Genomic DNA, 17689 nt, shown 5'->3' with positions numbered 1-17689 from the left:
ATTTAAGTAGAGTTTTGCCTGGGCCTAGCGAGAGGAGGGAGAATGGAACCTGGGGAGAACCCTCTCCATCTGATGTTCCATTTTTAACGCTATGATATAGCCCTCTTTTTGGGCTTTCAGCCCAAAGTACTTTTGGAACTCCATATAAAGGAGAGGGATGATACTCCGTCCGGTCGAGGGGAAGGGAGCACACATCTTCCCTCTAGGATGGCTTCTTTTAAGCTATTTTTTGCTTTTGGAGGCATGGCTAAATTGATTACAGCTACAGACCAGGCTGTGCAACTGCCCAGATCCTTTGAAAATTGGGCACAGAGTCTCCTGTAAGTCACAGAAGCTGAAAAAACACAGCCGTCCTCGAACAAAAGAGGAAAATGAGGTCAGAAAAGGAAAGTTCACACAGACTTGGTTCTTTTCACTTTGTGACAAGGCCAACAAATGTACTGAGAAACACTAGATTGTTTTAATGGGGACCCTTGTGGGAAACGAGGAGAAAGCATTGTGAACTTCAACCACATTGAAACTTCACACAGGCTAGCCTTTGTCAGCCTGTGGGATAAAGAGAGAAATAGCTTCTAAAAGAGAGAGTAGGGAATGGATCCACCCATATGCATTCCTTCCAAGTCGGTTATAGATTATAGTACCTTTGAAAAACATTCTTTTCTGCTTCTCACACATTTTGTAAGACCTGATGAGCCAAAAATGTTACTGACAGATTCCTTCCATTCTGGGACCTCAACTGCTAGACTGGGTTCTGTGGCAACTAGAATTACTGTTTGACATACAGGATTCGGTTGTTGGCTTTAATAAGTTCATCATCTCTTTCCATGAGTGGTGGTCAGGGCGGCGCAGGGCACAGCATGCAGGCAGAGGGCGATGGTCTCTGACGGGAGTCCGCTTGCAGAAGGATGGAGCTGACTCCCGCTGCCTGCCGAAGAGCCAGGGGAGTAGTGAGTCTCTGAATTCCCCCTATGCTCACAAGCCAACCAAGAAGCCTAGCGAAGAGGATTTTAAAATGCATTGGGAGAATGTTGGAATGTGCAGGGAATTCCCTGCTTATTTCCCAGACAGTCAAGTATGCACCCAGAGGATTAGGAGAGAGAAAGTGAGTCCCACCATTCTGGGGGCTCAGCAGAGCCTGCTTCCTTGCCCACCCTCCCCCGGGCTCCCCTGGCACGGACCTACCGAGCAGACTAGGATCGCTGTTCCAGAAAATCCCAAGGGTCTGCTGCGGGCTCACTTAAAATCCCGGTTTTGATCCAGCAGAAGTGGTGTTGTCTTTAAAATCTCTGCATGACGGTGAATTCATGAGCCTCCTGGTGAAGGCAGGAAGGAACCGATTCCTTGTGCTGAGTCATAGCGTAAACCTTGAGGTGAAAAAGCCCAAGTGTAGAGCAGGCACAGTCACTGAGTGCACGTGTTCGTGCCAACCTGGGTGCCCTCTGTGAAACAAGCCCTGGGGAAAGGTATTGCCTCTTCATTCGATTATTTTCAGGAACACTCTCAGCCACTGGCAGGTGTTCCATCTGCACCCCAGCTGATGGCCTACCTTCTTTCCTCCCAGGCCTGCTGGTCTAGAGCTGGCAGTGGGATGGAGACCTGCCTGAGGGAGAGAGGGCCCGTGTGTGCTGGCCCCTCTGTCTTCCGCTGCACAGCTTGGCAGCTGACCAGGTGCTTAGTTGTTGGTTAAACCCCCCAAAGCCTCGGCGCCACCCAGCATCCTTCTCCATTGAAACTGGCTAGCTCAGCCTCCCAGAGGTCAGCTGCAGAGCACAACCCAAGAGGCACTGCAGACCCCTCTGTGGGTCAGGACATCAGAGTCCTGACAGATTTCAACAGATTTTTGTGGCTTGGTCGTGACCAGCCAGAGAGCTCAAGTTCCCACTCCACTCCCAGGAAATTACCCCCGTGGCCGCCAGGCGTGTTGAGTCTCTCATCTTGCCTCTTAATGATATGTTCTTTCCCCTCTGGTCCTCTTGATGTCCCCCCGCAGGGTGCAGGCTGCACTGCCCTTGTGGTGGCCGTGGTGGCCCGAAAGCTGGAACTCACCAAAGCGGAGAAGCACGTTCATAACTTCATGATGGACACTCAGCTCACCAAGCGGGTAAGATGCCACACAGCCATGTCTTATGGGGGACTTAAGGCCACAGTGGAAGCCAATCAGAAAGCAAATGGTCCAACGGGTGCAGTGGCTCACGCCTGTAATCCCAACACTTTAGGAGGCTGAGGAGGGTCGATCACAAGGTCAGGAGATCAAGACCATCCTGGCTAATACGTTGAAACCCCATCTCTACTAAAAATACAGAAAATTAGCTGGGCATGGTGGCACACACCTGTAGTCCCAGCTACTCAGGAGGCTGAGGCAAGAGAATTGCTTGAACCTGGGAGGCGGAGGTTGCAGTGAGCCGAGATCGCACTACTGCACTCCAGCCTGGGTGACAGAGAGAGATTCCATCTCAAAAAAAAAAAAAAAAGAAGGAAGGAAGGAAGCAAATGGTCATGTCGTATGGGTTTGCACCAGGCTTTTAAAGGGTGTGTTTGAGGGAACCCCAGACACAAAATGGAAACAGCACCTTCATACGCCGGGTTCCTGTCTTCTGTTCGATCACTGTGCATGGTTCAGGCAGCCAAATAATTTTCCTGGTAATTTAATTAATAGCCTACAATGGTATAACCTGCCCCTTTGCCTGATGATACCAAATAAATCACGGTATGAGGCAATGTTTTTTGTTTATGCTCAAATATTTTCAGGATTCTCATTAGGAAGGGCAAAACTATATTGAAAATATACCTAAAACTATAAAAGTATATTGAAAATGTACCTAAGTCTAATCCTTTAAAAAAAATCATTTAAAGAATCATTCTATGCTGGGAGCGGCGGCTCACGCCTGTAATCCCAGCACTTTGGGAGGCCGAGGCGGGCGGAGCATGAGGTCAAGAGATCGAGACCATCCTGGCCAACATGTGAAACCCCGTCTCTACTAAAAATACAAAAATTAGCTGGGTGTGGTGGCAGTCACCTGTAATCCCAGCTACTCAGGAGGCTGAGGCAGGAGAATCACTTGAACCCAGGAAGCGGAGGTTGCAGTGAACCGAGATCGCGCCACTGCACTCCAGCCTGGGCGACAGAGCAAGACTCCATCTCAAAAAAAAAAAAAAAGAATCATTCTAGTAGAGCCCACATCCCTAAATAAAATTGTTCATCAAAACATCATCATCCAATTTTTCCCTTTTGGGTTTTCCGGGTAATGTTTCTCACTTGAACCATTATGGAAGTGGTTATGGAAGATGAAAATCTGAAAATATGCAGGAATGGGTAGACCATTTAGCTGCTGAAAGTTGGACACCCCACTGAATTGTCTGAGATGAAAAGACCCATTTAGAATAGACAGATACAAGCCTTCCAGAATAACAGCAGGCCAAATGGGCAAGGCAGGAGCTGTTTATTCAAGGACAGCTTTTATGGAAAATTCTTTAGAACTACAGCCTGAAGGAAGGTCAGTAAGATGATTTCCTGCAAGACTGTCCTCTTTCTGAGACGAGACAGAATTAAAACCCTGTGCCCGTGTCTCGGCCTCCATAGTCTTTTTCATTTAGGACTGAAGTAGGTTAAGGGACCCATGAGCAACCAAATTTTGATTTGGGTTTTTGAAAGCTAGAGAAAATATTCAGTGATTAATGTTGCACAGCAGCAAAAATGTGTTAGAAATAGAGACAACGGCAGGAAGGAAGAACAAAAAGAGAGAGAGAGAGAATGACAGAGGGAGCTGCGAGCGAGCTCTTGGGGAAGGCAGTGGGAGAGTGTGCAGCGGCCAAGGCCTCTCCAGTTTCTCAGCAGAATTATTTATGGTGTTTGATTGTTTGGTCTTTGATTACATTTATTGGATTCTGTAAAGAGCCTTAACAGACATTAAAAGGAACTGGTACGGGCAAATATTCTTATGTTGTTGACATTCAAGTGTTTGTACTTGATACATCATGGCCCTGAGCTATCAGCTGCACCAAAAAAAGCCATGATTTGTCACATCACGATGGCAGTGATTGAAGGCTGTTATCACAGTAAGGCCTGCCGGGAACCCTGCCACTTGGCCACTCTCTTTCAGCCCCCTCTAATAATGGGTGCAAAAGTCATGCTCAGTATTGAGGAAATTATTCAAGTTATTGAAACACCTAAATGCAAATCCACTTGCATCTATTTTCCTGAAGCAATTTACTGAGGTTTCACTGGATTGAAACTACGTGCCGGAGTGAGGGCAGGGAGATGTTTTGCCTCCAAAGCCTTCTCATAAGCTGTTTACCAAGAGTAGAGACATTAGCAGTCTCTCTGTTTATTCTGGTTTTCTTTTTTAAGCCAAGAATATTCTTTGTATTTGGTGTTATTCCTTTGTCCTCTCCATTTTTCACCAAGTAGATCAGACGCTAGAGGAAAATAAAGCTGAGGAAAGCCAGCTCCTTTGTATGCCAGGAAAATAAACAATTTTTCTGCAATATAATTGTAGAAGATGAGACTGTGGTTGCTAATTTTAATCTTTCAAAAATGATTCCCTAACATCCTCCTCAATTCCACTTCTTGAAAAGTAGGACTGAAAATCAAATCAACAAATATTTATTGCTCACCCATGAATCTAAGGTAGCTTTTTAATCGAATAACATCTCACTTTTCTGAGAACACTTAAATCTGTTGAAATGTCTCTTTAATATCTAATATCTTTTCTCAAGGAAATAAACAACACAGAAGGGATGGTTCTTACAGAGAGAAGGTTTTCAAAGCTGGCAGGACTAGAACTTCTGAAGGTTCTTTTACATAACCTTAATTGAAATGAAACTGGATGTGTGCATCCTTGGCCTGCTCTGGTTTGAGCTGACTTTGACCTGCTCACAAGAGAACCCCACCTCTCTTCCCCTGGGGATGCCTGGCCTGCCTTCTGTCCTCTTGAAATGGTCCATTGTATCAAGCTGGAGTGGCTCATTGGTCAAGAAGATGCTAAGCAGCCGGGTGCGGTGGCTCACGCCTGTAATCCCATCACTTTGGGAGGCCGAGGTGGGTGGATCATGAGGTCAGGAGTTCGAGACTAGCCTGACCAACATGGTGAAACCCTGACTCTACTAAAAATACAAAAATTAGTGGGGCGTGGTGGCACACACCTGTAATCCCAGCTACTCAGGAGGCTGAGGCAGGAGAATCGCTTGAATCTGGGAGGCAGAGTTTACAGTGAGCCGAGATCCCACCACTGCACTCCAGCCTGGGCAACAGAGCAAGACTCTGTCAAAAAAAAGAAAAAAAAAAAAAGAAATACTCACTCTCAGACATGATCCTTAGAAGCTCTTGGCCGGGCGCGGTGGCTCATGCCTGTAATGCCAGCACTCTGGGAGGCCGAGGCAGATGGCTCAGGAGGTCAGGAGATTGAGACCTTCCTGGCTAACACAGTGAAACGCTGTCTCTACTAAAAAAAAATCCAAAAAAATTAGCCGGGCGTAGTGGCACGTGCCTGTAGCCCCAGGTACTCGGGAGACTGAGGCAGGAGAATCGCTTCAACCTGGGAGGCGAAAGTTGCAGTGAGCCGAGATCGTGCCACTGCACTCCAGCCTGGGCAACTGAGCGAGACTCCATCTCAAAAAAAAAAAAAAAAAAAATGCTAAGCTCAGTCTATTCATAACATCTCAGTGAATTCTCAGAGAAAGATCCAACATGAAGGAGTTGACTGTGGCATAATTGCAACCTCTTCGGAGTGGGCAATTAGTAGATTTGACAGATAAAAGCAGTCTCTTACCGGTATATGCAACCTTGATGCTTCAAAGACCTACGCAAAACGAAAAAAGGAATTGTAGCTATTAATCATAGAAAATACTCAAATTGTTCTAGTATTTATTCATCCTGTCTTGCTCTAAAGACTGCAGCCTAGCCTTTGCCATGAGAGCCAGCACTATTTTTATTTATTTGTTTGTAGGGAGGGAAGAGGGTCTGATAGCACTGGGTAAGAACTCAATTTCTGCTTTTCTTGAGTCCCATGCTTATCTTCTTTCCTCGTATGACTTATCAACTCTGGTGGCAACGTCATTTCTGTATTTAATTCAATCAGATCTTCCCACACTGACTTCGCAGTGTCACTGCCATTGTTATTCTGTAATTATAACTTATTGCTAATCTCTGGGCTACTAGATAATATTTAAGTACATGATTCACAGAGGGACTGGAAGAAAGATACTAGAGCCCCATCTTTTCTGCCACTTAGTGTTTTCATGTCCCCATCTTTCTGTTTTATGTAGCTAAACAGATCCATCACAGAGGCCACTCCCTGGGTGCCACACTCTGTACTCTGGGGGCACCAAGATGGGTAAGAGGTGGTCCTCACCTCCATCCCTAACCTCTGGTGGCTGACTGCCCTCAGAGAGCACTTCTTCTTATAAGAGGTAGAGTGGGCCGGGTGCGGTGGCTCACGCCTGTAATCCCAGCACTTTGCGAGGCCGACGTGGGCGGATCACTTGAGGTCAGGAGTTCAAGACTAGCCTGGCGAACATGGTGAAACCCCGTCTCTACTAAAAATACAAAAAATTAGCCGGGCATGGTGGTGGGTGCCTGTAATCCCAGCTTCTCGGGAGGCTGAGGCAGGAGAATTGCTTGAACCCAGGAGGCGGAGGTTACAGTGAGCTGAGATCGTGCCACTGCACTCCAGCCTGGGTGACAGAGTGAGACTCCATCTCAAAAAAAAAAAAAAAAGGAAAGAAAAAGAAAAAAAAGGCAGAGTGGGCTGCTATGGACACACTTGGCTTGGGAGGCACCATGGACCGGAGATATTTTCTTTGCGGTACCTACTCTCCACATCAAGCCACAGTGAGCAGAACCTTCAGACAGCACAGTGTGCTAAGGATCCTATCTCCTTCTTGCTGCAGGGGTTTCTTGCCCCAAGTAGCTCACCCAAGTACACTTCCCCATGAATTCAATGAATAAGACCAAAATTAAACCCACAACTTCCCTAAACTATTTCCTTCTCCTAACTTCCCTGGTGTGCTCCTGACATCGTGTTCTTCCAGACGCCAGGCCTAAAGACTTAGCCCCATTTCTGACTCCTCTGGACCCTGGACCCCACGAGGGTCTGAGCACTTTCTGTGTCTGATTTCACCTTGCCGTGGCTGTTCACGCATGCCCGCCTCTCCAGGGCCTCGGCCCCGCCACTCTTGAAGCCGCCATCTTCTGTCTCGCACTATCACAGCAGCCTGCTACCTGCTCTCCTCACTTCGGCGTCCCTTACCCCAGTCATCCTGCACTCTGCTTCCCCATGGATCTCCTTAGACTCTCAGGCTTAGCTCTGAACAAATTACTTCCTGCTCAAAAACCTTTAAGTAGTTTCCCCACCTACTATCTCCTGAATGACACTGAAGAAAACTTTTCTTTAATTACAAGCATATGCCAAAGTTTGATCATAATCTTGCTAGAAGAAAATTTTCTTCAGCAGGCTAATTCAAAGATTACTCTTAGTAGTGGTATTTCGTAGGAAAAACAATGGTAGTCATTGTTATGCCAGATTATAGAAGGTTTAGCTAAAGACTGCTAATGGACAGCTGGTTGGGCTCAACAGTGGATTTCCAGAACAAGTCTTCAAGTCTTTACAATGGATCAGATAATCAATAGGGCAGTTATCAGGAATGCTAATTCTCCCCAGAAGAGGATTATAAATTACATCACGCACAAGGTTCTGTCCCAGACAGATTGGGTGCAGGTTTTCTTTAGCAATAGTCACAGAAACAATGTGCGTTTAAGCTGGAAGGACCCTTAGGGAAGAGCCACTCCAACCCACATGAGAAGACGAAGGCCCAGAAAGGGGCGAGGGTGGGCCCCCGGCCTATGCAAGATCCACTTTGCTCTCAGACCATCAGGCAGGCAGCTTTAGGGCGGTCAGTTCCTTGGAACTCAGCATGGGGTTAGGGTCCCAGACCTGCTGAAAAGAAAAGCCAGCTTAACTCCACCCTAACTGAGTATCACATAAATAGCATTATAGAATTATCCACCACCCATTACCATATTGCTACAGGGAGAACCTCAAGCTCCAACTCTGAACAACGGAAATACACCTCCTCTCTCTCTACCCAATTTCCTGCCAGCCAGAGAGGTGGAGCTCCCAGTTCTAAGTGGTCAGTGAGGGCCTCTGGGTGAGGCAGGCAGAGAAGCCTGTAAAGGGAGTGTGGAATAGAACAGGGGGAGGAAAAAGAGGAGGTGCAAGCAGGGTGATGAAAGAGAGGGCAGCCGGGGAAGCCAGAGCAAGTCTGCAGGGTGGTGATGAGGGGAGAGTGGGCTTGGCAAATGGGAAAGAGGAACCAGCCCCCTTCTCTAGTCCTGTGTGTAATGGACACCTTCAGTCAAGGGCTGGCTTGCAGGTTCTCCGATAGTGATCTGATCATCACTCAGCCTAATTTCAACCTGTGTAACTCCTTGAAGTTACAGTCATGCACTGCATAACAAGTTTCAGTCAATGATGGTGCACATATACCAAGGTGGTCTCAGAAGGCTATAACAGAGCTGAAAAATTCCTCTCCCCTAGTGATTTGTGTTACAGTGGCCTACAGTACAGGAATGTGCCATACAGGCTTGTAGCCTAGGAGCGATAGGCTATACCATACAGCCTAGGTGTGTAGTAGGCTGTCCCATCTAGGTTTGTTTAAGTACACTCTGTGATGTTCACACACTGAAGAAATTGTCCAAGATGTGTGTATTTAAATCACACCCACCGGCCAGGCCTCCCTTTCCCCGTCTCCAACCTCCAAGTAGAATACTTCCCTGGCAAGGGTTCCTGGCAGCATAATGGGCATGCTAGTGATTTCTTCTCTGGGGGGCTCTGCTAATGGGACCCCTGGAATTTCCCAGGGCTCCTGGGGCTGCTGGAGGCTTAGGGTGCCCAAGAAAGGTGCTCCTTTCATCCCCCTTGTACTCCTGCCCCAAGCATTCTTGCCGCAACCGACAGCCCCTCTGTAATAGCAAGTAGCAGGTTACCTGGGCAGAGAGGTGGCCAGAGCAAGTCATTGACATGGGATGCTGCGGCCAAGAGCTCAAGGAAGAGGTGTGTGTTCTGTTGTATGTTTTCTTGCTGGCTGGGGAAGTTAGAGGGAAGGAAGCTGACATTTATTGGAAGGAGAGAATATTAACAAAGGTACCATGTATTGAGGCATATGGCCAGGATCTGTGCTAATGTTTTAAGTATATTCTCATTTAATCAACACAGTAATCCCATTTCACAGATGCAGGTAGTACTTGCATCACTCTCTAGCCCTGGACCCTGCTTTGTTGTTGTGGTTTTTTAAGCGCTTGTTACCTGATGCTATCATACAAACTGCATACCGTCTTCTCCGCAGGATTGTAAGTTCCGTAAGCGCAGCAATGTTATTGATTTGTTCACTGTGGTACCGTCACTTGCTACAACAATGTCTGGCCCATCATAGGTGCTCATTAATTGTTCCTCAAATGTATGAACAAAGAGAGTCTCAGAGAGTTCAGCAGTGGGTCCAAGGTGGAGCTGATGATCACGTCTATTTATCAAGTTTTTCTGAGGGTTAATGAACCAGTGCAGACATATGTGCTTAGCACAAAGCCTGGCACGTAGTAAGCACTCAGTATATGTTAGCTGTCACCATAATTTGCAAGGTCTTCATTGGACCACTTTCTTGCCCAGGCCCATTAATCTTAGAGCCTTTCCTAAAGTAGATCATAGAGCCCATTGTCTGGCCCCAATCAGAGTGAAAGCAATTTTTTGGTAGAGAGTTTTTGGGCTTGCAGAAAACAATCAGCCAATTTGTTTATGGGTTTTGGAGGCAGGACAGCTGGACTTCCATTCACAAAGGGTCCTCTCCTAACCATCCCCAAACCCATCCGATTGTGGCCAACCTTGAGCCACTCTTTCTGGCTTGCTGCTTTCATCTTAAGCCCTGCCCTCTCGCACTGCTGCACCCTGAGAGCATCTTTTGGCCCTGGTGCCTCTGCCCACCAGGAGAGGTCAGGTGGTACCCAAGCCTCCCTCAAGGAAGGGTGCATGGAGCCCTTTGGAGGCTCGGCAAATCTGAGGAAGGGCACATGACCTCATGTGCTCCCGACCCCAACAATGCTTAGATCAATCAGCCAGGTGAACTGGAGGGAGACCCTGGCCACAATAGCATTTACTGTCCACCTGGGAAAGCACAGTGCAGTTAAAAGCCTATTTCTTTTTCTCTCGCAGATATTGATCTACTTAGCTTTGTGCCAGGCTGTTTGCTGGTAATTAATTTCAGAGTCAGTGCAAGGGCTGGCAGTTAACATCACTTTCCCGAATGCACGGAGGCCTCCCTCCAAACTCATAAAGATGATGTGACTGCCTCTCTCAGCTACCCGGGCCGTGCTGTGACTTCAGTATCTTACATTTGGGCTGACGTTAAGTGCAGGACCTGGACTCCGTGTTCTGTCACATTGCTAAGTGAGGGCCATGATGATTTAAAAAAAAAAAAAATCCAGTGCTCTTTCCAGTTCCTTGATCCTGGAAAACAGGAAATGATTTTGTTTGTCTTTCCTTCAGTCCACATGAAAACCTTCTGCTCTTCCTGGACGTGGCTCTTGTTTTGACTTTGCCATTAGCTAGCTGTGTGATTCTGGCTCTCACATCCCATCTCTGAAGTGGTTTCCTCGTATGTTCAATGAGGGGTTTGAGCTAGATAATATTAACTAATATCTGTATGGTACTTTACATTTTATGTAGCATTCACACCCACACTGACTCAGTTTGCCATTAATAATTGTCTAGTCTTGGTCTGTGTCTTGGTTTCTTCATCTGTAAAATGTGGATAATGTTAGCACCTCCCTGATGGGGTTGTGGTGAGGATTAAAGGAGCTTAGACATATGAAGTACTCAGACCTGTGGCTGCACCTGGTAGATGTTAAGTGTTGCCCCCAGCACCATCATCACTGCCTCATAGCAGCCCTCTTTATTTTTCCCATCTTACAGATAATGAAGCATTTGCTCCTAAACTGCTTAATAATTGACAGAGCAGGGATTCACCTGCAGACTTTCCAGTTTCCTTGAGGCTTTCCTAAGAGGCTAAGTGCGTAGGGAAACTGAAGAAATGACACATCCAATTGCCTCCTCTCCCTGCAAGAGGAGGGCAGTAGTATTAAATGTGTGCTCTGCAGAGAGCAAGGCTTCCCTTCCGTGCCGCCTTTTTTGCCAGGAGGCTGCTGTTCACTCTAGTTCCCTGAGCAGAAGCCCAGAGACCACAGTGTCCTCTCCTGGACATCCACCGTTTCCAACTTTCCACCACAACCTGCTTCCTTTCAGGCAAGAAAGTACTAGAGGTGGGCAGTTAAGTCATTTAAAACTATTTTCACAGCAGATCTTTACTGAATTTTTAAAAAGCAATATTTATGTCCCTTAGACATTTCTGAGAAGACTTAGCTGTTCTTTTAAAAACATCACTTCAGCGCCAATGAAAAATATAATCCAGCCTTAGTAATAAATTTTTAAAACATACACACACAAAAGTTATCAGCCTGCAAAACAATGTTTCCTAGGCTTCCCACACATCTCAGTATTTTAACAACATCCCATCTGTTGATGTCAGTCTGAAGAAGCAGGTCTATATTCTCTAATTTTATTAAAATCCTTTCTGGCTAGTAACCTGATTTCTATTAGGCTGGCCTACTTATTTCCAGGCCCCAGGCCTGTGGACACATGCCAGTCTGCATGGCTGACAGAAATGGGGATGGTTAATCAAAAATCTGCTTAGCATGTGCTTAATAAGGAATGTTTTCTGTTGCTCTTGTTACTAATTGCTGAAGATGTCTGTGTTTGGATTAAAACTTTGTCCCCTGCCATCTGGATGCCATTGATATGTCTCAGCTCAGTCATGAGCCTGGTGATATCAGTGGTTTCCATGTCAATGGATGACAGCGTCATATGTTGAAACGTGTGATTGCAGTGCACAGTGAAGGAGCCAGCCCTGGGGAAGAGGAAGCTCTGGTTTCACACCTAAATATCTTCACTGATTTTCAGACATTGCTCTGAAATTATTTCTTTTTTGTGCCAATTACATTTACATGTACAATTGCAGTGCAAATGTTTTTGGCCATTTGGGAAAGGAGACAATGGGCTCGTTGGTACCTATAGTTCCAATCAGTGGGAAAGACATTTTCTCAAAGAAGTCTTTTAAAATCTCCAGCTGATAGGAAATCTGTTTACTCTCTGAACCCAAGCAATGTACCGTATACACGAAGTGGCAATCTCAGGCAAAGCTCGGAAGTCTGCATGTAAGGGCAGCAATGGTATATCGCTAGCTATTTTCCAAGGGGACCCCGGGACTCAAGGTCTCGCTCATGCAGCCTGTCTAAATATAGCATCAGCAACAGCAGTCAAGAGATAGTATTGAAATAATCAAGAAGGAAGAAAGAAAGAAGGAAGGAAGGAAGGAGAAAGAAAGAGAGAAAGAAAGAAAAAGAAAGAAAGAAAGGAAGAAAGAAAGAGAAAGAAAGAAAGAAAGACCCTCCAACTTCAAGCTCTGGTCTGCAGTGTCCAACACAAGATTAAGAACAGATGAATTTTAATCACCTTTTTTTTTCCTTTTTTTTTTTTTTTTTGAGATGGAGTTTCACTCTTGTTGCCAAGGCTGGAGTATGGCGTGATCTCAGCTCACAGCAACCTCTGCCTCCCAGGTTCAAGCGATTCTCTTGCCTCAGTCTCCAAAGTAGCTGGTACTACAGGCATGTGCCACCATACCTGGCTAAGTTTGTATTTTTTGTAGAGACGGGTTTCACCATGTTGTCCAGGCTGGTCTCGAACTCCTGACCTCAGGTGATCCACCCGCCTCGGCCTCCCAAAGTTCTGAGATTACAGGCGGGAGCCACCGTGCCCGGCCTTAATCATCTTTTCTAGGAGTTCCGTGATTTTGGTTAAGAAAATAGATCATTGCAAAATCGTTTCCTTATGAGGTAGACTACAGTAGCAACCACAAAAATGAACCTAAGAAAATGAACCTGATAGCAGCCTACTTTATTTATTCTTCCTTAGATCAAGAATGCTGCAGCCAATGTCCTTCGGGAAACATGGTTAATCTATAAACACACAAAGCTGCTAAAGAAGATTGACCATGCCAAAGTGAGGAAACACCAGAGGAAGTTCCTCCAAGCTATCCACCAGTGAGTATGCCAGAGCGGTTCAGCCATCAGATGACCAGACTGGGAGTGGCGGGACTCCTACAACTCTGTCAGTAGCACAGAAGAAATCCATTCTGTTCCACTCAACAAGTGGAGTGGTGAACTGGGTCTGATCACTCACTGACTGCACCAGCCACATGCCAGGAATTGGGCAGGCTGCTATGGAAGGTAAAAACTAGAGTAAGAACCTCTAAGAGCTTTCACATTCTACACACACACACACACACACACACACACACACACACCACACACCACACATCACACACACCATACACACCACACACACACACCACACACACACCACACACACACACCCCACACACACCACACACAAACACCACACACACACACCCCACACACACCTCACACAAACCACACACACACCATACACACCACACACAAACACCACACACACACCCCCCACACACCACACATCCCACACACCACACACAAACACCACACACACACACCCCACACACACCTCACACAAACCATACACACACCATACACACCACACACAAACACCACACACACACACCTCACACAAACCACACACACACCATACACACCACACACCACACACACCACATACCACACATCACACACACCATACACACCGCACACACCCCACACACACCATGCACACCACATACGACACACACACCACACACACACCACACACCACACATCACACACACCATACATACCACACACAAACACCACACACACAACCCACACACACCACATCACACACACCATACACACCACACACAAACACCACACACAAACACCACACACACACACACCCCGCACACACCACACATCACACACACCATACACACCACACACAAACACCACACACACACACACCCCGCACACACCACACATCACACACACCATGCATTGCAACTCAAATCAAAACAAACCGTGGCTGATGCTTTCTGTGATGGAGGAGTTTTTAAAAGTATAGTGGAAAAGCAAAGGATGAAAACATTCATTCTGATGGAGAGGTTTGGGGAATCCCTGAAAAGTTGAGAATAAGGCACTCAACATGGAAGGTGCAGCCCAGGCATAGAGGCAGGGAAATGATCTGGGAATAGCAAGAAACCAGTGACTGAAGGTGAGCATGCGTGGAGACAAGAGTTTGCTTTCTGGGGGGATGTGACAAGCCCCTGGAAAGTAAAAGCCTCAGTTGTTCCCCAGGTTCACGGTCCCCATGCTGGGTTCCAAAATCAGAGGCAGTGGTAGGGCTGGAGGATCTGCTGGTGGGGCTAAACCTTTGCATGGACTTGAAGGGCTTGCCTGTTACCATTCTTCCCCACAGGTTGAGGAGCGTCAAGATGGAACAGAGGAAGCTGAGTGACCAAGCCAACACTCTGGTGGACCTTTCCAAGGTGAGTGGCAGTGTCTGGAGACATCCCCTAGAACACGCAGACACTGAGTCTTCTCAGGCTCACCTGTGAGTCCTGGCTGGGTTCGCACTGGACAGCGCGGGACCAGGCAAGCAAAGAAAAATTTCTGCTTGGTTCAAAAATACCTAGGCTCAAGTTTGTTTCATTTGCAATCTACCGGTATGTCTTGTGGGCTTTTGAAACTTGGTGTTTGTTTCTTAAGTGAAATCGCTCAGGTGTGTCTCTGCGTGAAATTAATGAGCTGACTAAACCTTTTCCGTGTCATTTTATGAGCTGCACATTGAGGGACTCCTGAGGTTGGGCTTGAGTTTGCACGGCTGTGAAGCATGCTAGCAAGGACCAGACGGTAACGATGGCCATGGTAACTGCCCAGGTCACACCGGTTTGCTGTAATACTTGGAAGTTCATTTTTGTACATCCTCCAGTCCTTAACCAACTAGTTTTGCTGGCCTCAAATTGGCGGCAGTGGTGTGTGTGGGGGGGTGCATTTCTTTACTTCTCAAGAGGCAGATAGCCTACAAGGAACATGAAGATACCCAAAAAGAGAGCCCTCTTTTGAGAGCCCTAGGGTGTAAGGCTCGCCATCACTCTGCCACTCTGTTTCTGGCCCTGAGCTGCCATAAATACTGTAAGGAAACTCCTCTTGCAAATCACCCAGGTGAGGGAGCCGAAGGCCACACTGCTGGCAGAGCTGAGAGTCGGTGCCACTGAAGAAAGGGCCTCCCCCTCCTCAGCCCCCTCTCCTCATTGCCTCTTGATAGGAATTGTATATTAAGTGTACAGCCCAGGGCCAGGCTGGCAGAACATTCCAGCAGATGTCAATTATCATAATGGAACACATTCCCTGGGTAAGCAAGAGAAACTCCCTCAGGCACATTAAGCACCCTTTGAAAAGAGTGCAATCAGAGAAATCACTAGTTGTCGGGCCACGTGCAGGTGCCTTGTTTAATAAAGGGATTGAACCAAAGAAAGGGCCTTCTAAACCTGTGAGGACTTCAATCGGGGAGTAAGTGGCTTGGCACATTTGGGGAGAAGCCTCCAGGCCCGCGTGCCTTTGGAGGAGGGCGTTCACGTGGAGTGCAGGGTGGTTCCTAGGAGCCTGGGGTGGGAGTGGAACGTGGGCATGCAGGAGAGAACTCCCTCAGGTTTTTGGGTGTGTTGGTTTTAATATCAGAAACCCGCTGGGACTAGGTTTAAAAATGGAGAAATCTATTCTAAGGATATAAGGGAGTCTCATTCCAGGCAAAACCTCAAAGGAGACATGTGGCCAGACTGCAGGAAGGAACTGACTCGAACTAGACCTGGGAAGCCCCCACAACCAGGAGGTCTCTCACCATTTCTTCTCTGTCCTTCTGTTTAAGTGACTGCTTCAGTTCTCTCTCCCTCTCCCTGTCTCTCTCTTCCTCTCCCTTTCCCTGTCTCTCTCTTCCTCTCCGTCTCCCTGTCTCTCTTCCTCTCCGTCTCCCTGTCTCTCTCTTCCTCTCCCTTTCCCTGTCTCTCTCTTCCTCTCCCTTTCCCTGTCTCTCTCTTCCTCTCCCTCTCTCTTCCTCTCTTTCTCTCCCTCTCTGCCTCCTGTCCCCGCGACAGACTGTAACAGGCTCCAATTCAGAGAGTACATATAATAGTTTTAGCCACAGGTAAAGACTAATTGGCCCCCTACTAGTCTTAATTCTAAATTCTCAGAATAGAAGAAATGATTGGCCAATTTGGGCCACGTATCCACCCTGGGACCAATCAGCATTGGCCAGGAAGAGGGTCATATGGAGCAAACAGGGCTAGGGGCCCACCTGTGAGCTTCAGGAATAGCCCAACAAACTGCCCCAGGATGTTTCTTCCATGAGTAGCAGTATTTCCTGTTTCTCCTCTCACCTTGCAGGACATGCTGTGACTGATGTTCCCTGGGGACATGAGGCAAACCAAACTTTCTTTTTTTTTTTTTTAGTTTTATTATTATTACACTTTAAGTTTTAGGGTACATGTGCACAATGTGCAGGTTTGTTACATATGTATACATGTGCCATGTTGGTGTGCTGCACCCATTAACTCGTCATTTAACATTAGGTATATCTCCTAATGCTATCCCTCCCCCCTCCCCCCACCCCACAACAGTCCCTGGAGTGTGATGTTCCCCTTCCTGTGTCCATGTGTTCTCATTGTTCAATTCCCACCTATGAGTGAGAACATGCGGTGTTTGGTTTTTTGTCCTTGCGATAGTTTGCTGAGAATGATGGTTTCCAGTTTCATCCATGTCCCTACAAAGGACATGAACTCATCATTTTTTATGGCTGCATAGTATTCCATGGTGTATATGTGCCACATTTTCTTAATCCAGTCTATCATTGTCAGACATTTGGGTTGGTTCCAAGTCTTTGCTATTGTGAATAGTGCCACAATAAACATACGTGTGCATGTGTCTTTACAGCAGCATGATTTATAATCCTCTGGGTATATACCCAGTAATGGGATGGCTGGGTCAAATGGTGTTTCTAGTTCTAGATCCCTGAGGAATCTCCACACTGACTTCCACAATGGTTGAACTAGTTTACAGTCCCACCAACAGTGTAAAAGTGTTCCTATTTCTCCACATCCTCTCCAGCACCTGTTGTTTCCTGACTTTTTAATGATTGCCATTCTAACTGGTATGAGATGGTATCTCATTGTGGTTTTGATTTGCATTTCTCTGATGGCCAGTGATCATGAGCATTTTTTCATGTGTTTTTTGGCTGCATAAATGTCTTCTTTTGAGAAGTGTCTGTTCATATCCTTCGCCCACTTTTGGGCAAACCAAACTTTCAAGCCTGCATTTCTGCAGTGCCACCCACGGCCTCTTGGAGAGATGGGGCCCACGGAGCAGACCGGGTGAAGCGAACCCCTCAGTGAACTGGAAAGACACTCCTGTGAATTGGGTGGGGGAACTAAGCCGTAAATAACCCAGGAGCAAGTTACCTGGAAAGAAAGAGTGTGCAGGAAAGGGTTAAGGGAAAAATCTGCAGAACCCCCGTGGGGAGATCTGGGGAGGAGATGAACTCTGACATTCGCCCAGTCTTTATCTTTTCCTCCCAGGAGACTCACCCAAGGTCCTGGCAGCAGCTTAGCACACTTCACACTGGTCCATATT

The 17689-nt window shown here is 46.8% G+C and overlaps 1 protein-coding gene and 1 long non-coding RNA gene across 7 annotated transcripts in view; one reads left to right on the top strand and one right to left on the bottom strand.

Annotated features, from left to right (window-relative positions):
• The window catches only part of KCNN3 (potassium calcium-activated channel subfamily N member 3), a 172827-nt gene that overhangs the window by 142265 nt on the left and 12873 nt on the right, over nucleotides 1-17689 (top strand). For all 5 annotated transcript variants that reach the window (NM_002249.6, NM_001204087.2, NM_170782.3 and 2 more), the window contains 3 exons: nucleotides 1991-2101; nucleotides 13014-13141; nucleotides 14484-14553. In NM_002249.6, the coding sequence (NP_002240.3) occupies nucleotides 1991-2101; nucleotides 13014-13141; nucleotides 14484-14553 (309 nt within the window). The remainder of the gene's footprint in view (nucleotides 1-1990; nucleotides 2102-13013; nucleotides 13142-14483; nucleotides 14554-17689) is intronic.
• On the bottom strand, nucleotides 787-1306 carry LOC124904429 (uncharacterized). 2 transcript variants are annotated; one of them, XR_007066638.1, is made up of 2 exons: nucleotides 1179-1306; nucleotides 787-925 (listed from the first exon to the last, which is right to left on the bottom strand). It is a non-coding gene; the product is annotated as an uncharacterized LOC124904429 (long non-coding RNA). The 2 variants fall into 2 exon arrangements; XR_007066637.1 differs by having other exon boundaries at nucleotides 1183-1306.

The sequence above is a fragment of the Homo sapiens genome, chromosome 1 (genome assembly GCF_000001405.40).
Source record: "Homo sapiens chromosome 1, GRCh38.p14 Primary Assembly".
NCBI lineage: Eukaryota > Metazoa > Chordata > Mammalia > Primates > Hominidae > Homo > Homo sapiens.
The sequence above is the reverse complement of the archived record's forward strand: the minus strand, read 5'-3'. Positions and strand labels throughout refer to the sequence as shown.